Source organism: Homo sapiens, chromosome 1 (assembly GCF_000001405.40).
Source record: "Homo sapiens chromosome 1, GRCh38.p14 Primary Assembly".
Taxonomy (NCBI): domain Eukaryota; kingdom Metazoa; phylum Chordata; class Mammalia; order Primates; family Hominidae; genus Homo; species Homo sapiens.
In genome coordinates, this window is record NC_000001.11 from 38,008,095 (window position 1) to 38,026,720 (window position 18,626).

The 18,626-nt window shown below is 45.5% G+C and overlaps 1 protein-coding gene across 2 annotated transcripts, besides 2 other annotated features; it reads left to right on the plus strand.

The window, feature by feature from the left end:
* Positions 1,267-1,436: an enhancer, noted in NCBI's record as "active region_782". NCBI's record gives its function as "activates an Ori minimal core promoter by ATAC-STARR-seq in GM12878 lymphoblastoid cells {active_cell/tissue: GM12878}" and the evidence as "EXISTENCE:reporter gene assay evidence [ECO:0000049][PMID:35858748]".
* On the plus strand, positions 4,640-16,726 carry UTP11 (UTP11 small subunit processome component). Of its 2 annotated transcripts, NM_016037.4 has the most exons (8): positions 4,640-4,771; positions 8,265-8,326; positions 9,574-9,676; positions 10,370-10,483; positions 10,965-11,058; positions 11,159-11,289; positions 14,605-14,715; positions 15,451-16,726. In NM_016037.4, exons 1-8 carry the CDS (start codon positions 4,709-4,711, stop codon positions 15,532-15,534), a joined length of 762 nt encoding a protein of 253 aa, NP_057121.2. In that variant the 5' UTR covers positions 4,640-4,708; the 3' UTR covers positions 15,535-16,726. The 2 variants fall into 2 exon arrangements, with proteins under 2 accessions (NP_057121.2, XP_011539857.1); XM_011541555.3 differs by lacking the exon at positions 8,265-8,326.
* Positions 18,009-18,508: an enhancer, noted in NCBI's record as "H3K27ac hESC enhancer chr1:38491775-38492274 (GRCh37/hg19 assembly coordinates)". NCBI's record gives its function as "activates a minimal SCP1, AML or CMV promoter by ChIP-STARR-seq in primed H9 embryonic stem cells {active_cell/tissue: H9 hESC(primed)}" and the evidence as "EXISTENCE:reporter gene assay evidence [ECO:0000049][PMID:30033119]".

Here is an 18,626-nt window from a genome sequence, read left to right on the forward strand (position 1 = left end):
TTGGGAGGCTGAGGCAGGAGGATTGCTTGAGCCCAACAGTTTAAGACCAGATCTGGGCCAGGCGCGATGGCTCACGCCTATAATCCCAGGACTTTGGGAGGCCAAGGCGGGCGGATCACGAGGTCAGGAGATCAAGACCATCCTGGCTAACGCAGTGAAACCCCGTCTCTACTAAAAATACAAAAAAATTAGCCAGGCGTGGTAGCAGGTGCCTGTAGTCCCAGCTACTCTGGAGGCTGAGGCAGGAGAATGGCGTGAACCCGGAAGGTGGAGTTTGCAGTGAGCCGAGATTGTACCACTGCACTCCAGCCTAGGTGACAGAGCGAGACTCCGTCTCAAAAAAAAAAGACCAGATCTGGCAACATAATGAGACCCCGATCTCTATTAAAAAAAAAAATCAAACCGACTGGGGGCGGTGGCTCACGCCTGTAATCTCAGCACTTTGGGAGGCTGAGGCAGGCGGATCACGAAGTCAAGAGTTTGAGACCAGCCTGGCCAACATGGTGAAACTCTGCCTCTACTAAGAATACAAAAATTAGCTGGTTGTAGTGGTGCATGCCTGTAATCCCAGCTACTTGGGAGGCTGAGGCAGGAGAATCGCTTGAACCCAGGAGGAGGAGGTTACAGTGAGCCAAGATTGCACCACTGCACTCCAGCCTGGGCGACACAGCAAGATTCTGTCTTGGGGAAAAAAATAAAAATAAAAAATCAAATCTGGACAGTCAGAAGTCATAGCACCCTATGCCAAAAATGAGCTTCACCATTAGGCTCTAGTATCTGTAGTCATTTAATCTCTGTGAACCTCAGTCTTCTCACTGTGAAAAGTGAATGAGTCTGCCTCACAGCATTGTTGTAAGGATTGGATGAGAGCACACAATAGATTGTCAATATGTGGGGACAGTCCCCACTTTCATGATCAAATGTTAAGGTTCAGCTACTTGGACTTGGAGTCTGGGGGCCAGAGAAAGTTAGCTCTCTGGCTTGGGCCACCTGGGCTAGGGAGAGCGGCCTAGGGGCAAGCCGCCCACAGTGAAGCTGTGTCTCCCTGTCTCAATTTCCATTCCCCAGGAGGCTCACATTTCTCTGCTCACTCTATTTTCGTTGGCCCAGGAGGACGTGCCCCAGGGAAGTCCAGGGATCAGCCACAAGGACTCCCTGTTCCTGTTCCCTATCTGTCCTCCTCCCTCCCTGGGAAACAGGTGTGTCTGAACTGGGGCTGGAAGCAGAGCCTGAGAGCTGGATGACTGGCCTTGGGTGAGTAGGATCCTGTTGTCCCTCACTCACCCTAGAGGTCCCCACACACTCTTCTTTATCTCATGCTTAGGGCACCCCTGCTGTTTTTTCACTCTGCAAGGGTTTTCAAAAGGAGGCCCTGGGTGGCTACTGACAGGCCTCTCATGGTTTCCTGTGAGTGCTGAATCACTCTCTGATGCCTGTAACCATAGGCCCTCCTTCCCCCTAGTGAGAACACAGCCTTTTTCCTCTGGGTATATTGCTCACTCTTACCTACTGGCTGCCTAGAGCTCTTGCAGGCCTCAAGGCTTGGTAGATAACCTCTTCCAAATTGCCCAGATGCTTTCTTCTATTTTTTTCTTTTTCTTTTTTTTAAGATGGAGCCTCGCTTTGTCACCCAGGCTGGAGTGCAGTGGAGCAATCTCGGCTCACTGCAACCTCCGCCTCCCAGGTTCAAGCTATTCTCCTGCCTCAGCCTCCTGAGTAGTTGGGACTACAGGCACACGCCACTATACCCGATTAATTTTTGTATTTTTAGTGGCGATGGGGTTTCATCATGTTGGCCAGGCTGGTCTTGAACTCCTGACCTCAAGTGATCTGCCCGCCTTGGCCTCCCAATATGCTATGATTACAACCATGAGCCACTGCGCCTGGCCGTCCAGAAACTTTCCTTGTGACCCCAAGCTGGACACTGAATTTGTGGGTGGAGAGGGTGAAATAAGTAAGTGACTTTCACAGAGCATGGGAGGTGGGGAGGGCAGAGCAAGAACTAATGTAGTTAAATGTTGACTGTGTGAAGGGCACCATGCCACGTGGTAGTCATTACCTCTTTCTGTCCTCACAAAAACCAGAAGAGGCAGTTATTATTATCATCATCACCATTTGACAGAGTAAGACAAGCTCAGAGAGTTTGACATCATAGCCTCAAATCACAAGCCAATAGGTGATAGATATAAAGCCAGGGCTGACACCAGGGTCCCCCTGTCTAATGTACAGAGCTAGCTTCTCTTGGGTATGCTGGTCACCCAGTGCCTTCTTCAGGGGGAAGAGGCAGGAGTGGCTGGGGCTGCTACCTAGTCACCCTGCCTGACAGCTGGTCTTCTTAATGGAAATGAGGCTGGAAAGGTGGGCATGAGGCAGGTTATAAAGGGCCTTGTCTTCCAATGGTAAGTGATAAATGAGATGGAATTTTGTTAATGCAGGAGGCCCTAAATGGGCAAGGCTCAAACTCATACTTTCAGCTCTTTCAGGCCCACTGGTCGACTGGACTGGCATTTCTGGGGACTAAGGGGACGATTTCCCTGGAGCTCCTGAGCTGGAGGAGTGACCCCTGTCATGAGAAATGCGTGCAATTATACATCCTGTTTCATGTGGTGGAAAAGAAACCAAATACCTCTGGAATGCTCTACTGTGCCCAATCCTCTCTCTAAACTTAGAAGCAGGTTTAGTAATAATAAAAATAACAATAGTAACTCCATTTTATTGTGAACTTGCTAAGGAATAAAAACAGCATTAAGCACTTTAAACATAGTTCGTTTTGGCCGGGTGCGGTGGCTTACGCCTGTAATCCCAGCACTTTGGGAGGCTGAGGCAGGCGGATCACGAGGTCAGGAGATTGAGACCATCCTGGCTAACACGGTGAAACCCCATCTCTACTAAAAATACAAAAAATTAGCCTGGCGTGGTGGTGGGCACCTGTACTCCCAGCTAGTCAGCAGGCTGAGGCAGGAGAATGGTGTGAATCCGGGAGGCGGAGCTTGCAGTGAGCCGAGATGATGCCACTACACTCCAGCCTGGGCAACAGAGCGAGACTCTGTCTCAAAAAAAAAAACAAAAAACAAAAAACCAACATATTTCGTTTAATCATCAAAACAGTCCTGTGGGTATAGTATTATTATTACCTCAGTTTTACAGATGGGGAGATGGAGGCTCAGTGAATCTAACTTTACCTTGACTGGGGTGGCATCAGAACACACCTCATGGGTCATTACCTTGTACTGCCTCTGATTCGCATATCGTCAACCAGCCATTCCCTTAGGGATGTGAGGGACTCAGAACTTTATAGCTATTGTCATTGGGTGATTTCCTTCTATGCTCTTTACAGATATGACTCCTCAGTTCAACTGTGAGCTCTTGACAGCAATATGAGGCAAGAAGTGTATGTTATTATTATCCTCATTTTATGCTTGAGAAAAATGATGCTCATTAAAGTCAAGAAACCTGCCAAAAGTCACACAGCCTGTAAGTGAATGGCAGAGCCAGTTATGGTTTTAAGGTCTCTTGTCTCTCTATAGAATATTTTTTCCTGTACACTGTTGTAGAGGAGCAAAAAATGGACAGGTCAGATGAATGAAGTTTATATAGTGTCCCAAGTTACAGAAAAGAATAGTGGCATGGGGCCTCTGGGGGCTGGTGGCAACACATATTATGGGAAGGTGAGAGGAGGAAATGTCCTGTTATGGAGATAAAATCTCTCAGGAAGTAATAGTTGTCAGCCCTCTTCTTGACACAGATACCTCACTAAAAATGTAGATTTCCTTTGTAGGTGATAAATTTATTTCTACAAAAGGAAGGACAGCTTTTCAGAGCAACTCCTGTATCTGCAGTTTCTCAGCATAACCAGCTTTAAGAAACAAGCCAGAGAAATATATATTTTGGGGTGGCATATTCTGGCCTCCCACAGTCATATTTTGGAGTGGTGAGTCCTGAGCCCCAACAGTGTTTTTTTTTTTTTTTTTTTTTTTTTTGAGACGGAGTCTCACTCTATTGCCCAGGCTGGAGTGCAATGGCGCCATCTCGACTCACTGCAACCTCTGCCTCCCAGGTTCAAGTGATTCTCCTGCCTCAGCCTCCCGAGTAGCTGGGATTACAGGCGCGCACCACCAAGCACAGCTAATTTTTGTATTTTTTTTAAGTAGAGACGGGGTTTCACCATGTTGGGCAGGCTCCTGACCTCGTGATCCGCCTGCCTTGGCCTCCCAAAGTGCTGGGATTACAGGCGTGAGCCACCGCGCCCAGCCAGCCCCAAAACTGTTAAATCCGTACTGCTCTAGCTTTAAACATACCTTCTAGATACAGCAACCCGTGCCGAGCTGTAAGTGACTGCACATGCGCACACGCTAAGCCCAGCTCAGACGGAGGCCAGTGCCAGCCACGTGTTCCCAGGTGCCCACGCGGGCCAAGCGCGAAGGCGAGATCTGGGTAGCGTGGACAGGCGCTAGCGAATAAGAACTGGCTCTTATAGAGTCACGAGACTATATCTGGGAAACTACACTTCCCAGAAGCAGCCTGCGGTGACTGCCTCTGTTAAATGACGTACTTCCTGAAAGCCGGCTCCGGATAGGTTGCTTAGAGGAAGTAGGCGGTTCTAAACCGCCGGCGGCTAGGCCTATTTCCGGTAGGAATCAGTGGACTTGGCGGCAGAGGCAGTGCGGATCCGGCGTTCTCCACTGATCTTTTCCAAGGCTGTACAGACATGGCGGCGGCTTTTCGGAAGGCGGCTAAGTCCCGGCAGCGGGAACACAGAGAGCGAAGCCAGGTAGGACCATACAGGCCCCACAAGTGCTGGCCTTTGTCGCCATGTGTTACCCTTGCCCCAACCCTGTCGCCACCGTGGGATCCGGGTCCAAACTGTATAGTATATAAATGCACGTAAATGTATGTTAATGACGCTGGCGTGGCTGGGGCGGAGCTTCGTGGGAACGAGTGGAGGGGATTTGTCGTTTCCGTTCTAGGAAAAGCAGGGGTGCCCCCCTTTCCTTGGGGATATAAAACCTGCTCTGGAAGATTTCAGTGTGGTGATTGAGTAAGATGTCTGTCAAGTGCCTGGTCTCTTCTGAGGAGTTGAGGTCAGAGCTCATGTAGGCAACAACTGCTGGGCTGAAATTGGATCCCACGTCTAATGGGCAGCTCCGCCTGCTGCATATGGGGGCCCTGACCGAAGAGACTGTGGTTACTAATGTGGTATCATCATCACGCTGGGCTTGTGGTTCATGAAGATCTGCCATATGTGCTTTTTGTTTAAGCCTTACCCCTTAATGTTGGCCTTTTCCATTCCCATTATACAGATGAGGAAACTGAGGTCCAGAGTGGTGACTTGTCCAGTTACAAACACCAGATTCAGGCAGAGTAAACAGTTCTAGGATTTCTATGGTGGGTGTGTCTGTGTAGGGAGGTTGAGTAGAAATAAGCTTATATGCAGAATCAGTTGATACACTGTCAGGAATCCCGTGCTTAATATCTGATTCAGAAAGGCCCTTAGACATACATATGTGCTCCAACTTAGTTTTACAGATGAGGAAGACAGGGGAAAGAGTTGTGCAGCTGACTGATGGGATAGAACTAAGGCCTCTTAACTACAGTTCAGTCTTCCTGCTTAATAGCATATATCAAACTTTTTTTTTTTGAGATGGAGTCTCACTCTGTTGCCCAGGTTGGAGTGCAGTGGCACGATCTCGCCTCACTACAACCTCCGCCTCCCAGGTTCAAGCGGTTCTCCTGCCTCAGCCTCTCGAGTAGCTGGGACTGCAGGTGCACACTACCATGCCCTGCTAATTTTTGTATTTTTAGTAGAGACGGGGTTTTGTCAGATTGGCCAGGCTGGTCTCGAACTCCTGACCTCTGGTGATCCACCCGCCTTGGCCTCCCAAAGTGCTGGGATTACAGGCGTGAGCCCCTGCACCCGGCCAAAACTATCACCTTTTGAGCACTTACTATATGCTAGGCACAGCCCTGCATGTTTTTACAATTGTCTCATGTAATCCTACAACATCCCTCTGAAGTGGATGTTACCCTCATTCCTCATTTTACAAATGAGGAATCTGGTGCTTAAAGAGATTGAATAGTATATCCAAAGTCACAGTTGTAAGTAGTGGAATTGGATTAGCAGAGAAGACAGAGGGCTTTCAGAGCTGGCTGTGGACATGGCATGGCCATGGCTGAGTAGGAACAGATGGCCTGTGTAGAAGAGGTGAGAAGAAGACCATCCTGAAAAGGTGGGTAAACCGTTGACACAAACGTTCCATATTTGGGTAGTTTGGACTTTATCCTGCAGATCCTTCAGTAGGGCAGCAGGGGAGCTACTGAAGATATTTTGTATGGAGGGTGTATGTGTTATTACGTAAACTATTTCAGATACAATACCAGGTTTCCTTTTGTAATGCGATTGTACATTCAGGTGGACATGAGAGATTTCAAGATTTCTGCCTCACCTCATGTTGTTGCTTTTTTGACCCTTTAGCTTGCTTTCTCTACTCTGTTAACCTCCCTTTGCTGTAATTAAAGTTAAAATTATTAGGGGAGGTTTGGTATTATTTTACTTATGTTTTTGAGATAGTGTCTCCCTCTGTTGCCAAGGCTGGAGTGAGTGGGGCAATCACGGCTCACTTCAGGCTCGACCCCCTCACTCAAGCCATTCTTTTGCCTCAGCTTCCTGAGTAGCTGGGACCACAGGCGTGTACTGTGACACCCAGCTAATTTTATTTTATTTTTTTAATTTGTAGAGATGAGGTCTCACTGTGTTGCCCAGGCTGGTCTCGAACTCCTGGGCTCAAGTGATCTGCCCACCTCAGCTTACCAAAGTGCTAGGATTGCAAGTGTGAGCCTGGCCTTAAATAGTTATTTATTGCATCACTTGAAGGATAAAAGATGAGAAAGATGACTGTTAAAAATCCTACCCAAATTATTATACAAGTTTTTTTTTGTTTGTTTTTTTGAGGCGGAGTCTCGCCCTGTTGCCCAGGCTGGAGTGCGATGGTGTGATCTTGGCCCACTGCAACCTCCGCCTCCCGTGTTCAAGCAATTCTCCCAGCTCAGCCTCTTGAGTAGCTGGGATTACAGGCACCTGCCATCATGCCCGGCTAATTTTTGTATTTTTGTAGAGGTGGAGTTTCACCAGGTTGGCCAGGCTTGTCTTGAACTCCTGACCTCAGATGCCCCACCCACCGTGGCCTCCCAAAGTGCTGGGATTACAGCATGAGCCACTGCACCCGGCCTATTATACAAGTTTAAACACTGGAGAAGTGTATGCATTTCCCAAAATGTTAAGATTATTCGCAACAGAAGAGGACTCAGTCTACTGTGATGGCCCTAGGGAGAATGGGTTCTAGTTTTGGCTCTGCTACTTATTAGTTCTGTGTTCTTGGGCATATCATTCTCTAAACCTCATTCCCTTTATGGAAAACTGGGGTAACAATAGTGCCTGTTTCACCTTCTTTCCAAGATTGTGGTGGGGATTAAATGAAATTGTGTAAGGAGCATAGCACATTGCAAGACCCTGACATATACTAAGTGCTCAACAAATGGTAGTATGTAGAAGGATCATACCAAGATTTAATCCTTATACCTTCCATGCTCTCCAAGTCTACGTCAGAGAAAGTACTTTCTGTCATACTTTTTTCTCATACTGAGTACCACAAGTATAATAATAATAGTAAACTCATGCTGGAAAGCTGCTATGTGTCAAGCCATGTGCAGGCATTACCATTAATAGAAGCTCCTTGAATCCTCAGTATAACCCGGAGAAGCAGGTACTATTTTCATGTTACAGTCAGGAAATAGCAGCTCAGAGAAGTTAAGTGACATGCCCAAGGTCACAGATTGTTCAGAGGTAAAGCTTGGATTTGAACCCACATCTCCAGACTCTAAATTTAGCTCCCTTACCACAGTTGCCTCCCTGTTACTATGTTTTCCCTTTGTAGTATTTTATAAACCCTTGGATTAAGTTGGTAGTAATTTTAGTACAACTGGCAACTGCTTGCTTAGTGCCGAGTCATTGTTGCCTCTCTCTGTCCTTAATAGGCCAAGAAACCTACTACAGCAGTGCTTGTGACCTGTCTGGTGCTGGCAGGGTCCCTCTCATCCTTGGGCAGAGCCCAGTTGTGGGGAGGGGAGGGAACAGGGTCATGGGTTAGCTCCAAGGACTGGATTTACTGAGCACTCCAGAGACTCCTGTGCCTGTTAGATGTCGTGTTGATTTGGATATGTGTTTGCGGAGGAAACTAAGCACTGTTGTTCTTTCTTTTGTCTTCTAGCCTGGCTTTCGAAAACATCTGGGCCTGCTGGAGAAAAAGAAAGATTACAAACTTCGTGCAGAGTGAGTTCAGTCTTTCTGGTAGAGGCGCTGCCAAGAAAGCTTACAACCTCCTTGCACTGCAGCTGAATTGCCTGAGTGTCCAACAGGGGATAATTTCCTGCCATTGATAAAATGGCCAAAGCTCTGGCAGCCTGTCAGATAATTTTTTCTGTGATCCTAAATTTCTCTCTTTGTTTAGGCAGATCATTATTTATTTAACTGTAGTTGCATTGTGAATTATTTGTATTATGTTGTTCCAGATCATTTTCTCATAGTGGCTTTGATTTGGCTCTGCCTTGGTGTTTGAGCCCAAAGTTGAATCTTTTTCTCTTTGTTTTCTTGAAGTGCAGGATATAATCTGAAATTCCATTTGTTGAGTCTCTTACATCACCATGTGTGTGATGTGGAATGAAGAGATGTGAAAGATGGATTCATGAGACCAAGCGTGGGTGATAATGAACTCTGAAAACATTTTATAAAACAATTATCCCCATTCTTGTTCTCTGTTAGCACTTTGTTTGCAAAATACTTCTTAATTATTTGTTAGCGATACATGTCAGCTGAGGTCCTTTTTATGCCCCTGGTCTAGATGGTGGTGATGGATTAAATGGGTTTCTGTAGGTCCCAGAGATTTTAAGGCTAATGATAATTAAGTATTGTTATTGGGCCAGGCAGTGTTCTAGGATATTTACCGTTTTTACACTGATTTGTCCCTCCCAACAACCTTCTGGGATGGGTTACTATTACCGTATTCATTTTACAAATGAAATTGGGATTCAGGATGGTTAAATAACTTATCCAAGGTTACTTAGCCAGAAGTTGTCAAGTCCAGATTTGAACCCATGCTGTCTGGCTCCAGAGTCCATGATTCTAGTCATTGCGCTATACTGTACTGTGTAGTTTCTGAATTACATATGGTCATTTGGTGCCCAAGCTTGCACCATATCCTAAGGAGTTTTAATTTGTACTTTGTTTGGTGTCTCCCTGTAATGATATAAATGGCACTGAAACATATATAGGCTGGGGACAGTTAATTTCAGGTTCCACTGGAATAGGAACTGTTGATTAGACTGTGGACCCTGCGAAGACATGAGCTCAGCTCAGTGACAGTGGAGTGTCCAGATCCAGTCAGTGCTTTTGGCTTTTTTGAGTTTCACTCTGTGTGACCTTTTAGATGCTTGTAAAGTTTGCTTATTGTGGGTTTTTGGTTTTTTAAAATTATCTATTTTTTTTTTTTTGCTATGAACCTCATTTAACCTGTCTTTTAGTGACTACCGTAAAAAACAAGAATACCTCAAAGCTCTTCGGAAGAAGGCTCTTGAAAAAAATCCAGATGAATTCTACTACAAAATGACTCGGGTTAAACTCCAGGTGGGTGCCCAATGGCTTGGTTGGTGTTTTGAGCTCCACACATTGGAAAATAAGGACAGGGAGGAGATGGAGAGGAAGAATCGTTGGCCTTAATTTAACCCTTCTCTGGTTACTCCAGGTGCTCTTGGTCAGTGTCCAAGGCAAACCCTCCACTTCCAGAGGAGCGTGCATTTTTACCTTTGAATCTGGGTTGTCTTATACCTGGAGCTGTTCTAGGACAGATGACTGGAGGTGCTACATTGAACGTACGCCTCAGGGGCCTGTGTCTAGGATTGCTGTTAGCATACAGCATTTGGTTGTCTTTTTGTTTTTTTTTTTGAGATGGACTCACTCTCTGTTGCCCAGGCTGGAGTGCAGTGGTGCGACCTCGGCTCCCTGCAACCTCTGCCTCCCGGGTTCAAGTGATTCTCGTGCCTCAGCCTCTCGAGTAGCTGAACTACAGGCACACACTACTGTGCCCGGCTAAGTTTTTGTATTTTTAGTAGAGACGGGGTTTCACCATGTTGGTCAGGCTGGTCTTGAACTCCTGACCTCAAGTGATCTGCCCATCTCGGTCTCCCAAAGTGCTGGGATTACAGGTGTGAGTGACCGCACTTGGCCTATGGTTGTCTTTGTTCTAGCCGTGCACTGTGCCAACAACTTATTAATGATTTTAATCTAATAGGGAATATATCTTTTAAATTTGGATTTTAGGATGGAGTACATATTATTAAGGAGACTAAGGAAGAAGTAACCCCAGAACAACTAAAGCTGATGAGAACTCAGGACGTCAAATATATAGAAATGAAGAGGGTTGCAGAAGCTAAGGTAATTCACTCTTTGTTCTGATTGGTTTTATTGGTTAAGAAGGGAAACTTAAATTCATCAATCTCAAGTTATTCATTAATTTCTTCTGGCATTTACAATCTCACTTGATTGTAATAATGATTTAGAAGTATAGTTAGCATGGTAGAGTGGAAAGAGTTCAGGTTTGGGAATGAGACAGACCTAGGGTTTGAGTTCTGGCACTGCCATAAATTACTAGCCCCATGACAATGGGCAAATTCAACTCCCTGAGGCTCTTCCCTCATTTCTGTCTCAGGCGACTGTTGCAGGGATTAAGTGCGTCTTGGGAAGTGCCTAGCCCAATACCTGATATTTGTTGGGATCCTTTCCTTTAAAAGAATAAAGCAAGTTCTTTGCTGGCTGGCAATAATGATGTGAAATGGTTTAAACTTTTGCAGTTTTTTTTTTTTTTTGGTACCCTAGAAGAATCTAATATAAAGTGAGACCATATTCTGTGTTCTAGAAAATCGAAAGACTAAAATCAGAGCTCCATCTGCTGGATTTCCAGGGGAAGCAACAGAACAAGCATGTGTTCTTTTTTGACACCAAAAAGGAAGGTATGAAATGTTTGAAGGTTTCTGGGACAGTCTACCATGCCAGTCTGTGTCATTTGGTGTTAGAAACCGACAGTGCCTTAAGGATTGTCTTGAATTTTAGTTGAACAGTTTGATGTCGCAACTCACCTGCAAACAGCCCCGGAGCTAGTCGACAGAGTCTTTAATAGGCCCAGGATAGAGACCTTGCAGAAAGAAAAAGTGAAAGGAGTTACCAATCAGACTGGACTTAAGGTAATTTTCTCTGTTGTTCTTCACATGTGAGCTTAGGGGAATCTAGGTGTTTTTTTTTTGTTTTTTTTTTTTTGCTACTGCATTTAAAATAATTTTTAAAATTTATTTTATTTTATTTTTTAGTCAGAGTCTCACTGTCTCCCAGGCTGGAGTGCAGTGGCACGATCTCGGCTCACTGCAACCTCCGCCTCCTGGGTTCAAGCAATTCTCATGCCTCAGCCTCCCCAGTAACTGGGACTATAGGGGTGCAACACCACACCCAGCTTATTTCTGTATTTTTCATAGAGATGGGGTTTCGCCATGTTGGCCAGGCTGGTCTTGAACTCCTGACCTCAGTTGATCTGCCTGCCTTGGCCTCCCAAAGTGTCGGGATTACAAGCGTGAGCCACTGTGCCTGGCCTAAAATAATTATTTATTTATGGAAAACTCATGAGTTCCCTTAGAAAAGTGGATTTGTAGGATGATTTGATGATGGGATGGAAGTGGAGAAGGGCTTCCTAATTTCTATGATCGGAGGAGGTATAGTGGTCAGAAGCTTAGGTTCTGGCCTTTAGACCTGGGTTTGAATCCCAATTCTGACCCTGCGCTTTGTGCTTTTAATACTTGTAACAGATGCCAGTGTTTTGAAAATGCAGAGAAAGGGATTGCTGAAGATTAAAGGATTTGCAATACTTTAATATTGAACCTTTAGCAGTGAATACGCACATCAAAAGGTCTTTCTGTGTTTTTATTTTTCTTGAGACAGGGTCTCACTGTCACCCAGGCTGGAGTGCAATGGTGTGATTATGGCTCACTGCAGTCTCCACCTTCTGGGCTTAAGCGATCCTCCTGCCTCAGCCTCCTGGGTAGCTGGGACCACAGGTGTGTGCCACCATGCCTAGCTAATTTTAAATTTTTTTTGTAGAAACGGGGTCTCGCTAAGTTGCCCAGGCTGGTCTTAAACTCCTGAGCTCAAGTGTTTACTCCCGCCTTGGCCTCCTGAAGTGTTGGGATTACAGGCGTGAGCCACCATGCCTGCCCAAAAGGTCTTTCATATTGTGTATTGTAACAAAAATTTTGTTTTGGCTTTTCCTTATGGTGCTTTCCGTCACTGTAACTGGGTTGTGCAGAAGACATGCTTTTCCTGAAAGCCTTCTGGAGTTGAACTCTTCTGACTGATTCATTAAAAAAAAATGCTGTCAATGTGTTTCAAGCAGACAGCTGTTCTGTTTTGATTTGAATCATTTACACTGCATCAGTTTTGCTTCCAATGTTTAATTTCACAGCAGTTTTCTCTAGCTCAGAGGCAGCTAAACTTGCTTTAGTAATATAAATACCCCTAATTAGTTTGACTATATTGGGTAATCCCATAAATCTGACAGTCTGTGCAATAAAGCGAAAACAAAAGCTGTCTGAAACCACTGCTGTGAGACTGTGCTAGAATCTGTGAATTGTTGAAGTCTAAGGCCCAGTAATATTTCCTTCTGTAGATAACACTTCCAGCCAAAGAGCTTGCTCATGAGTGTTCTTGTGATAACCCTGTTGTTTGTCAATTAGGTGTACTTTTTTTTTTTTTTGAGACGGAGTCTCACTCTGTCACCCAGGCTGGAGTGCGGTGGCGTGATATCGGCTCACTGCAACCTCTGCCTCCTGGGTTCAAGCAATTCTCTTGCCTCAGCCTCCCGAGTAGCTGGGATTACAGGTGCCCGCCACCACGCCTGGCTAATTTTTTGTATATTTAGTAGAGACAGGGTTTCACCATTTTGGCTAGGCTGGTCTTGAACTCCTGACCTTGTGATCCACCCACCTCAGCCTCCCAAAGTGCAGGGATTACAGGCGTGAGCTACCGCGCCCGGCAATTAGGTGTACTTTCAATTAGCCGTGTCACTGACGCTTCTCAAGAATTGTGGTAGTCCCTAAAGAGATTAGTATTCCAAATTCCCATGTAGAATAGTTCACCAGCATAGCTTTTGAGAAGTTAGGGAGGTTTAGATTTTTGCCATTTTTGTCTAGTAATTATGTTTCTTTCTATTTTGTTTACTGCAAAATCATTTTTATTAAGAGACTGCTGGTGGGTGGATTGCAAGGATATTTTGTCTGTAACTTCGAGTGGGTAGACAACCCATGAGTGAGCTTTAGGAGGTCTGAGAAAACCCCCCTTTCTCACTGGTATTTTGTGCAGATAGGTATATGTGCTTGCACAACCTTTTACAAATGTGTATGTACATTTATCTCAAGAAACATCCCATGCTGGGCGTGGTGGCTCATGCCTGTAGTCCCAGCAATTTGGGAGGCCAAGGCAGGTGGATCACTTGAGGTCAGGAGTTCGAGACTAGCCTGGCCAATGTAGTGAAACCCTGTCTCTACTAAAAATACAAAAATTAGCCAGGCGTGGTGGCGGGCACCTGTAATCCCAGCTACTAGGGAGGCTGAGGCAGCAGAATTGCTTGAACCCAGGAGGCGGAGGTTGTAGCGAGCCGAGATAGTGCCACTGCACTCCAGCCTGGGCGACAGAGCAAGACTCCGCCTCAGAAAAAAAAAAAAAAGAAGAAAGATCCCAAAGCTTTCATCAGTTTCTCTGAGGTTGATGATTCCCCAAAATGTAAGGACCCCACTGATCTTTGAGGAGTCATTAGCAGTGAGAATTCTCAGGTGAGCTTCTGCTGAAAAAATTCTTCTGCTTTCTGAGTGGTAAGATTTTCAGGCACCAGCACACTGCCTGGGGACCCTTCTGTTGCCGACTCTTCTGTTGCTCTCCATTCACTTTGTATAGGGTTTCCAACACTGATTCATTCCTGCCATCATCTCAGGTGACTGTGGCACTCACACAAAGGTTGAAGCAGCTTAGTGTAGTAGTGGAAAGATTCCTGGGATTTGTGAGAGGGGGACGGTCCTGACTCTGCTCCAGGTGAGCTGTGTGTCCTTGGACCACTTCTTCTCTGGGCCTCATTTTTCTGCGTTTGTAAATGACGGGTTTCGATAAGATAGTCTACAGGGTTCCTTTTTTAATTTTTAATTTTTTTTTTTTGAGACAGAGTCTCATTATGTTGCCTACGTTGGTCTGGAACTCCTGGGCTCAAGTGACCCTCCCTCCTCAGCCTCCCAAAGTGCTGGGATTACTGGCGTGAGCCACTGCGTCTGGCCCAGGGTTCCTTTCAGCTCCAGAATGTGATGTTCCTAAAATGGGCAACGTTATTGTTACCACGTTATGTTGATTCTGGTGAAAGAAGGGAGTTGATGAAACTATGCAGTTGGCTTAAATGGATTAAGAAACAGTTTCTTACTCATTTTTGTCCTGTTCATTGTTCACTGAGAATGTGTGTGTTTCTTCTCCAGCGAATAGCTAAAGAAAGGCAAAAGCAGTATAACTGCCTGACACAGCGGATTGAACGAGAGAAGAAATTGTTCGTTATTGCTCAGAAAATTCAAACACGCAAAGATCTTATGGTGAGGAGAGAGAGCCTTAGGCCTCTTTTTTTTTTTTTCCCCCTTTTCTTTCTTGTAAAGGTCTTAACTCAGACTAGATTTCAGCTGTGTGTAAATCAACCCCAGTGAAAATGTCTGCTCCTCAGGGGCAGTGGTTTGAGCCAGTGTCTGTTACTCTGACAGTGTTGAAATGCGCCTTGATTAAGGAGGTAATAAGGGGGTTATTAGTCAGTGCTTTGGAACAGCAAAGGGTAGGATCGGGTAGCATATGAACTTTATAGCTTATGAGCAGCTCCCGTAACATTTAAACAGGTTAACAAAACAGTGCATGTCACTCATTGGTGTTTAAAAATAGACAACATTGTGTAGTTAAATAGCAGAGCTGAGGAATATAAGATGCCTCTTTCATATTCTTATCATTCCTCTAAATGTCAAATTCTTTAGCTTTGTAGATCATTTAGGTCAGCCTTTCTCAACTGGGGTTCCGTGAGAGAATTAAAATTATAATTTTAAATGAAACAACTACTTGAACACCTTTCTTCTCAGTTTTCCTAGGACTGTACACAGCTAGTACTTTCTAGATGCCTAGGGGAGAAGTTAATTCATTGCCTACAGTGGATGCCTTGGGCAGTAGGGCTGTGTCCGTTCTCAACTTTGAGAAGGGCTGAAGCAGGTGCTAATAGGTAGTTTATTAACCTTTCGATTTTACAAAACCATTTCCTTCTCTTTACTGATCACCTTTTTACTCTTTTGTAGGATAAAACTCAGAAAGTGAAGGTGAAGAAAGAAACGGTGAACTCCCCAGCTATTTATAAATTTCAGAGTCGTCGAAAACGTTGACGTGTTATAGATAAGCCTTGTCATTCTGTATCAAAAATCTGTTGTCGTTTTCTAGTAACTTCAAATTCCATTACTCCAAATGGCATGGTTTTCCGGTTTGTAACCATAACTAAATTGTCAGTCTGACATTTAATGTCTTTCTATGGACAACATTAAATCTCCCTCCCTTCTGTAATTGTTTTTGGATTGTGAAATTAGTCTTATTTTTATATACTTAATTTTTTTTTTCTTTGAGATAGGGTCTTTGTTGCCAGGCTGGAAGTGCAGTGTGTGATTATGGCTCACTGCAACTTTGAACTCCTGGGCTCAAGTGATCTTCCTGCATCAGCCTCTTGAGTAGCTGGGACCACAGACATGTGCCACCATGTCTGAGTAATGTTTAAATTTTCTGTAGAGACCAGGTTTTGCCATGTTGGCCAGGCTGGTTTTGAACTCGTGGCCTCAAGCGATCCTCCCACCTTGGCCTCCCAAAGGGCTGGGATTACAGGGATGAGCCACTATGCCCAGCCCATAATTTTTTTTGTTATGAAACATAGGATCTCATTACAGCAGATTTGGAAAGTAGATTAATTCATTCCTAATCCCAGTGCTTATTCAATAATAACAAATATTTATTGCATGCTTAACTGTGCTAGGAGCTAGAGCTGTGGAGGTGGACAATTACTGTGAGTAGTCTAGTTGATTTCCTCCATTTTGTAAAACGAGGCATCACTTTTTGTCCATGTTTTTGTGTTTTATAGTTACAGTAAACAATTTGATGTCCTACTTTTTTTTTTTTTTTTTTTGAGACGGAGTCTCGCTCTGTCGCCCAGGCCGGACTGCGGACTGCAGTGGCGCAATCTCGGCTCACTGCAAGCTCCGCTTCCCGGGTTCACGCCATTCTCCTGCCTCAGCCTCCCGAGTAGCTGGGACTACAGGCGCCCGCCACCGCGCCTGGCTAATTTTTTTTTGTATTTTTTTAGTAGAGACGGGGTTTCACCTTGTTAGCCAGGATGGTCTCGATCTCCTGACCTCATGATCCACCCGCCTCGGCCTCCCAAAGTGCTGGGATTACAGGCGTGAGCCACCGCGCCCGGCCGATGTCCTACTTTTTAATTAAATCATTAGCTCTTTCCCAGTTTGTTACATCACAAAAGTTTTTTACAGTAATATATGCTAGAGTAAACGTTAAAATAAATATTATTTTTAATGATTGCATAGTGTTTTATCTAGTGGATAGACTGATTTTACCCTCACTCATTCTTCTTTTATTGGCTATTCAGGTGGCTTCATAAATTATCCAAGGAGGAATTTTTTTCTCTTACTTAACAGCTGCAGATAGAAACTCTTGGAACAAGGAACCTACGGGAGCACCTCTTCCTTATTGATGAAGCTCAAATCAGTATAGGCCTGGCTGTGTCTCTGTCCTCTGCACTCCATGCCAACTCACAATTCCAAGGCTAGAATAGCTTGGTGCAGACCTTCACTCTGGGAATATGGACCCCTGGGTGTGTTGGCCAGCTTCTTTCTCTTCTCTGGTTCTCTCCTTCCTTTGTTTGCCCATATCAGGATTATAGGCCAAGGACAGTAAGGACAGGACTGAACATGCTTAGAGCAAACATGGGAGAACAGGGAGCGGGGTTCTGGGGGGCTTGCGTAGCCCTTACACCAAGGAGGGAGAACAGCCATGTGTGGATTGTAAGGCTTTAAAAGAAAATTGTTAATGCTTAATAAGTGCCCATGACTGTGAGCTTCCTGTACAAGCCTAGACTAGAAGCCTGTTTCCTCAGGGTGTACCCAGTGGAATTTAAATCAGGGGCCCTGGAAAACAGCAAGAAGGGTCAGGAAACAGAAACCAGTAGGTTTTGCCTTCAGGAAGGAAATGCTTCCCATTGTGTGTATGCACTCCCTTCTGGGGAGGTGCTGAGCTCAGTCAATGCTGAAAGTTTTAGAGACTTGAGGATCAAACCAGGGAAGGGACTCATCATAGTGATACTAGACAGGGGAGTGAGCAGACTAAGCAGCAGTCTGATCCTGGGGTCAAACAGCTGGATGCTGCTGCTCCGTCTCTTGCCCCTGCTGGGTGGGAAAGTGGGGGAGAGGATAGGGAATAGACCTAAATGCCTTCTCACGAACCACACACCCACATGAAGGTAGGCTCGCCTCATGGAATCTCATGTTCACAGATGCACAAGGCACATATAACTCAGGCCTCATAAACAGGTACAGGCATACCTACACACCGTCTGGCACAGGAGCACAAACAGTGACGTTTGAAGAGCCACACTCCCAGGCCAAATGGAGCAGGAAAGTGCATCCTTTTGGTGTACTGTGAGTTCCAGGCTGAAGGTAATCGGAGTGCTGTAAGGGGAGCTGGGTGTTCTGAATTGCTGTTACACTGAGTGCTGTCTCCAAGACTCAAGGATTTTAAGCAAAGAGATTGGCTGTCCCTGTGACTAAGCAAAGACAGGCCCCAGCCCCATGTATTCTGAGAATTGGCCAGGGCTTTGCCGCTTTGGTACTCAGTGGGACCCTAGACTCTTGGCTTGTTGGGGAGGGAAGAGTATTGTTTGCTTAGCCGCCCTTTTTGGCCTAGGGGTGATTTGGGCTGTTGGTGGCATACTGCTCTAGCTGTGCCAAGGGGGCTGTGGGCAGCCTATGGAGCTGGAGGGATTTTCTGAGTCAGGACTTGTTTGGCTCAGGTCTCTTGTACAAACCAAGTCTCCAAACAGCAGTTCTATGGTGATGTGGACCCTTCAGGTCTGTCCAACAGAGAATTCAGTAAGCCTGGCTCAGTCTTAGTCTGTTGCTGCATCCTAGGGCCCTTCCCACCAAAGCAGGAGAGTGTCAAGCCCTAGCTTTATTCTTGAATAAGTTCATCTTTTTCTTTGAGACAGAGTCTTGCTCTGTCACCCAGGCTGGAGTGCAGTGGCGCGATCTTGGTTCACAGCAACCTCCGCCTCCTGGGTTCAAGCGATTCTCTTGCCTCAGCCTCTCTAGTAGCTGGAATTACAGGCGCAGAGACGGGGTTTCGCCATGTTGGCCAGGCTGGTCTCGAACTCCTGATCTCAGGCGATCCACCTCTCCTTGGCTTCTCAAAGTGCTGGGATTAC

Coding starts and splice junctions, on each gene's coding strand:
- UTP11 (NM_016037.4), top strand. CDS start 4,709: ATGGCGGCGGCTTTTCGGAAGGCGGCTAAGTCCCGGCAGCGGGAACAC. Junction 8,327..9,573: donor GATTACAAACTTCGTGCAGA/GTGAGTTCAGTC, acceptor CCTGTCTTTTAG/TGACTACCGTAAAAAACAAG. Junction 14,716..15,450: donor AAACACGCAAAGATCTTATG/GTGAGGAGAGAG, acceptor ACTCTTTTGTAG/GATAAAACTCAGAAAGTGAA.